Source organism: Homo sapiens, chromosome 3, assembly GCF_000001405.40.
Source record: "Homo sapiens chromosome 3, GRCh38.p14 Primary Assembly".
In the NCBI taxonomy this organism is placed as follows: Eukaryota; Metazoa; Chordata; class Mammalia; order Primates; family Hominidae; genus Homo; species Homo sapiens.
In genome coordinates this window covers 106,771,458-106,778,126 of record NC_000003.12, presented here as the reverse complement: position 1 = coordinate 106,778,126, position 6,669 = coordinate 106,771,458, and positions in this window count along the sequence as shown.

Below are 6,669 nucleotides of genomic sequence, written 5' to 3'. Positions count from 1 at the left end.
CATTCAAAATCCCATTTTGTATTGACTATTTGAAACTCCTTGAGTGTCACAGCAGAGGTCTATAGAATAATTGCAAAATAGCATTCACACAAATGTAATTCTTTTGTGAATAATGGAAAGCACTGTTTTATCCTTTTTAAGGGCTGAGCATAAAAACTACTCAATAGACTTAAAATGAAAGAAAATTAAAATTTTATTTGGGTCATTATTCAGTCCATCCTTCATTATAAATACATTCATGAAGTTATCGTCATGGCAGAGAGAGCATGAGAAATGTGACAATGTTCCCTTGTACTTAGCATTTACTCTTTTTATTCCATCTCTTTTATTCTACATATATTAAATTTTTCTTAGTATATATTATGCAAGATCGTAATATAGTTTCCCAAATATTTACAATAGGGTTGTTTATGTATTAGACTGAAACATTCTTTACTCCACTGGACACATACTAGATCTTGCTTCTGAAGAGAAAGGATGTTAATTACAAGGACAGGAAACTGATGAAAAATAAAAAGAATGAAAGTTTAAGAAGGCTTAAAGGAATATTCTAAAAATAATTAAGGAAGATATTACTCTGAAACGGGATGTAAGTTGAGAGAATAGGTAGAAGAACAGGAGAGAGTAGAAGAGATTTAGACAAGACAAAAATGTTCTCAATGGTCTCACTTTAATCAGAAAACCAAGGATTGAGTTATTTTGCCATTACATGAATGTAGAAGTGGAGACCTGAAGAAAGAAGAAAATAAAAGCAAGTTAGATGGAGCTCCTCCTATTGTTAGGAGCTTTATAGTCTCTTCACACCAGAATGTCTCTTCTCCAGTGTTTCCCCAAGGCAGCTTGTCACCTAGTACTATCCCTCAGCTCTTTTTCATGCTGTAACTCTCTAATCCTTGAGTTCTTGAAAACAAAATAAAAAACAAACAAATGCTTTCTCCTACTTTTAATACTTAAAGTAATGATCATTGTATTTTTCCATTTGCCTTTGTATCTCTTTTTTTTTTTGACCTTGTAGCTTTTTCTGTCGCTTTTGGTCCTTCCTTTATCTTCACTTGGTCAGAAACATAATATTCAGAACATTCTGTGAGTGTTTGTTCAGGTGTGTGATGTGCCAGAGAACCGACTACACCTATATCAATTTGTGGATGCCACGGATGATTCTACTGTTGTAGCTGATGGGGCTGGTCTGCCTTGCTTCCCTCAGTGCTAAGCAGCATACAAAGCTGTAGTAGGAATCAAAACTGGAATGTGCATGTGTGATGGGTAGGACTAAGAGCAGATTCAGAGAGCAAAGGCATTGATACTGCTGGGTCCATGAGCTCAGAGATGTGCGTGCTGCTCTTAGCAGGGGCGTTACACTCCCACAGGTAAGGGTGAGAGACAAGGAGCCAGAAGCCTGGAACAAGGAAGGGAAAGAAGAGTGACAAGGCTAGTAAGAAGTGAAATAAATGCATTGAATCAATGAAAACCATCCCTTAACTACAGTTTTCCAGTGACTGTGCCATGTGCTTTTACATACATTATCACATTCATTTCTCACAACCTTGTGAGGTTTACATGAGTGTCTTGGGTATGAAATTGTCAATTTAGGTAGCTTTAGCAACTGAAGCTTCAAAATTCAGTGGTTACCTGAGACTAACTGTGAGCAGTGATGATTGAGAATGGGCCCAGGAAATTCTCAGCAATGATTAGAATAGGAGATATTCACTAGGGAAGAGGACAGGACAGATACAGAGAAATGTGGACTATACCACATGTGTTAAATACTGTACTATCATTAAATTATGTGCTTTAAATATTAAAATATAGCTTAAAAAAGACCAAGCTACCTCCTCCTATTGGTCTAAATACATAGTGAAACTAATATTGCTTTGTTTACCTAGATTGACTGCTGCTACTACTACTACTATTACTACTACTACTATCCAAGATGGCCTTAGGTTCCCCACAGCATGCCTAAACTTTGGACAGATTTCTTTCTGATTATAGGCCCCCACCTCCCTTTCCTTAGAACATTTACTTTAGAAAACTAATAATTGCAAATTCTTTGTCTGTCCCTTTGAGATATAAATCTTCTTCTAGCCTCTCGCCAATTGTCCAACCCAGGAATATCTTTTTCAAGGACCTGGGAGCCATCCCTTTGAAATGTCATCAATAATAGTGCCCTTCTCTCCCAGTCCTTGTGGGAGGGTAGGAGCCTAATTTTGATAAGTGCTAACTAGCAAATATATATGGCCTAATCACATTGACCAATCTACCCCGCTAAAGTTCTTCAGTAGTTTTCCACTGGCTCATCTCAGTACTTAAAATCCCTTCTGCCTTTTGATCAAGTTTGAGTTCAGTTTCTCTCCCTATTGCTGTAGTCTCAACTCCTATTGCAATAAACTTGCATAAAATCTTCCTTGTCTTTTTAACTTCATCGGGTATAATTTTGTTTTGACATTACTAACCATGGGTGAGTGTCCATTTGAAAAGCTAAGTATGCAGCATTCTTTATCAAAATATAAACTTCAGCAAAATAATTGGCCATTGATCTGTAATAATTTGAATGTAATACTCTCTAGAGATATAAGGATGGTTCAGATGACCCTTGAGGTCACTAAATATTGATGTTTGAAATTTAACCTCACATGTGGTAAAAGAAATACCATTTACTGTGGAAATAAGCACTGTTTTAGATAATTGTAAAATATATTTCAGGAAAAAAATGTGGGTAAATACCATCAGGTAAAGTTTAATACTGCACGCGTGCACACACACACACATGCACACACACACACACACACACACACACACACACACACACACGCACACCCCTTGATTTCCTCCTAAAGGAATTTTATATATGTTATAGGAATATAATACAATCGGGAAATACAGCTAAAGAAATAAATTGGTAACAAAATAAAAATAAGAATGCAAAAATACAATAGATCTGGTAGTTTATGGAAACCATACCACAGAGCCTACGGTATTACTAAACGGGCATCCCAACTTGGCCCTGAGTTTTCAAGTAACAAACCCAGAAAGAGAATAATGATCAGTTGTAAGATCTCCAGTATCTAGAACAAGAGAAAAGCAAACAAATAGGATAATTTGCTTTAGAGTAACCCAGAATATTTAAATCTGGAAGAAATTTAAACTAACTAATGTGGTTAGCATTAAACCATACTATCAGGTGAAGTTGAATAGCACACATACACACACATACACCCATATATACAAGGTGTAGTATAGTAGGCAAGCTATAAACTACAATCTAAACTAAATGCAGACATATATTTTGTAAGATTACTTCCTTATGTCTCAATATAAAGTTGATGGAAAAATTCCAAATTTCATTTTTGTAAAAACAATCATATAAAGGACATCTAGTTCCTAGCACATGGTTCTCTGAGAGTCTTGTCTAATCTGAAATTTAGCCTACCTAGAAAAGTAAATTAAATATAAATCTTTAAGGATAAGAATTTCAACAAGCTGAAGTTTTGATGACAATTGGGCTGTAAAGAGAGTAAGGTCATATTCTTGGGCAAATTTCCATGAGTTCTACATTTAAGACAATTATATATGAATCAAGATGAACAGAAACTGTATCTTAAATCATTACGACAACAAAGAAAAACTACTCGCTGTATCATAATGATTATACATGTTATTTTCAAAAACTTAGAAAATAAAACACAAAATAAAAATCATCCATGATTCCATCTCTAATGGAAGAACTGAAAATATAGAGATTAAAAGTATTGCTGATATTTTGGGTACGTGCTTAAAATATAAAATGCTCACACTGTTTTGAGAGACAGGACAGCATAGTTCTGAAGGGTTAGACTCCAAGAGTTAAAATGTTAAATTACTTTACCCCTTGTATGATCTTGGGTAAATTATCTCAACTTTTAAATCTACTTTTGTTCGTTTGTATTTGTATTGCTATTCACCTCCAAATTCACTCTTCAACATATGCTTTGTGATTATGGGCTTCCTGTAAGCATTTTTCCTTTAAAGTGAGCACATTGTTAAGCTTTCTCATTAAAGGGTACTGTGGGAGCACCGTAGGAACAAGAGGGTCTCCTGCAGGTGCTGATGGCTGAAATGTGGGTAGGGTGGTGTGGCTGGGATGACATCCAGTGGAGCTCTGCCACAACCACAGGCCCAGAGTGCATGGATCCACAGACACCTTGAAGTCTCAGTCTGGACTGATGATAACCTTTCCATGACCCTAAATAGAGAAACCAGTGCTCTAAAGACCTTCTGCTGGCACAGCTGCCCTGATTCCTTCTGCAGGTACCAGAGTGGTCCCTGAGGCCCAGAGGATCCCTTCTGGATGCTGATCCCTCTGCCAGACCAACATGTCTGGCCTGGGGCCTGGAAAATCCCCACCTCCTCTGCTTGCCCTGGTTACTGATGGCCTGTTCCCCACTTGCACTCTGGAAGGCTACATTGTACTGACCCAGTTGTGCAGATCAGCTTTAGTATGGAAAAAACAACTTTCCACTCTTTAGCAGGCTAAATTATAACTCCTCTAGCAAGATCTGAACCCCAGCTGTATTAGTCAGGGTTCTCTAGAGGGACAGAACTAATAGGATAAATGTATATAAAAAGGGGAGTTGATTAAGGAGTGAGTATTAACTCACACGATCACAAGGTCCCACAATAGGCCATCTGCAAGCTGAGGAGCAAGGAAACCAGTCCGAGTCTCAAAGCTGAAGAACTTGGAGTCCAGTGTTTGAGGGCAGGAAGCATCCAGCATGGGATAGATATGTAGGCTGGGAGGCTAAGCCAGTCTGATCTCTCCATGTTCTTCTGCCTGCTTTTATTCTGGGCGTGCTGGCAGCTGATTAGATTGTGCCCACCCAGATTAAGGGTGGGTCTGCCTTTCCCAGTGCACTGACTCAACTCTTAATCTCCTTTGGCAACACCTTCACTGACACATCCAGGATCAATACTTTGCATCCTTCCATCCAGTCAAGGTGACACTCAGTATGAACCATCACACCAGCCTTGGGAAGGAAGCCCCCTACCAAATTTGTCTTTCCTGTGGTACTTACTTTCCATCTTGGGGTACCATAGAGAGTTTTCTCAAATGTTGTAGTTATTCTTTTATCATAGTTTTATTATTCTTTATATTAAACTTCTGTAGTCTAACCCAATGTGTGGTGTCTATCTCCTGTTTGAATCTACACTAATACAGTCATTAGATGGTACAAATTAAAATCAGAGAGATACGACTACATATATATGCACTTGAATGTCTAAAGTTTTATGTATATGTGTATATAAAATCTCTCCATATATATGTACATATATATACATACTTGTACATATATGTATGTCCATATATATGTATATATATAGAGAGAAAGACAGAGAGAGAGGGAGAGCTGGATAATGTTAGTGAGGGTGTAGGGCACCTGGAAATCTGATTCATTGTTGTTGGGAGTATACAATATTTTCTTATAAAACTAAATATACACTTATTCTATGATTCATTGGTTTCATTCCAAGAGAAATCAAAAGATATATGCACAGAAAGGCTTATATAGGAATGTTATTTGGAACTGTATTCATAAAAATCCAAAGCTGAAAATGTTTATTAATACATTAATGAATAAACAGATTATGGTGTATTCATATGATGCGGTAGTATTTAGTGATAAAAATGAAAAAAAAAACGTGCAACAACATGGATGAATCTTAAAAAATACTGTGTGAAAGAAGCTTTAAGTAAAATGTTCATACTATATAATTACATTTTTATGATGTTATAGAGCAGGTAAACTAATCTTTGGTGGAAACAAATTTCAGAGTGGTTGTCTCTTGGAGGTCTAGGGGTAGGAACTAAGTGGGATGGGGCATGAGGAAACTTTCTTGGGTGAGGTAGTATTCAACCTCTTGATATGTTACATTAAGTACTAAGAGTGAATATTTTAAAAATGGGGGTTTAGGTTATACAGGTTATGCATGTGTCAAAATTAATTTAATGGCACAGTATAGCAGGTACATTTAACCTAAAAAATGTAAACTAATTATATAAAAGTGTTTAGGTAGGAAGCATACTGATGTCTGAAACTTATTTGGAAATTCATTAAAATATAGGTAAATTGATGCCTGTATAGAGGGATATAGGTGAATAGATCTATAATAAGACAAAAAAGGAAAAGTATTTATTTTGGATTCTTTACTGGTTGGGATACAGAAGTTTACTGAATCTTTTTTAAAGTTTACTGTGTTGTTTTTTTTTTTTTAATTTATGAAAGACTACTTGGAAGAAAAACTGCAGATCAAAACCAACTTAGTTTTTTTTTTAATCACTTAAAACCATTTAGACTATTCCCTGGTTTGCTATGATATTGAAGTTTCAGTTTTGTATGAATGTTGAGCGTCTGTTTTTAGCTCCTGCAGCCTCACTCATAATGCGGGTAGTTTTCCAGTGCTAAAGACTGAGGGAAACTGTCTGGCTTGAATTTCTATTATAGTGCTTGTCTTTTCTTGCATCTTATTATTGTCTATGTGCTGGCCTAGAGGGTCTTTGATGTGATGAAGGTGGTTGTGCTTTTTTGACGTTATGTATTTGTATCCTATAACCCTTAAGGACTTCACCTGACTTGAAACCATACCACACGGAACTAATGTATAGGTAGTTTTTACTGATTGGCTTTTCATTTCATA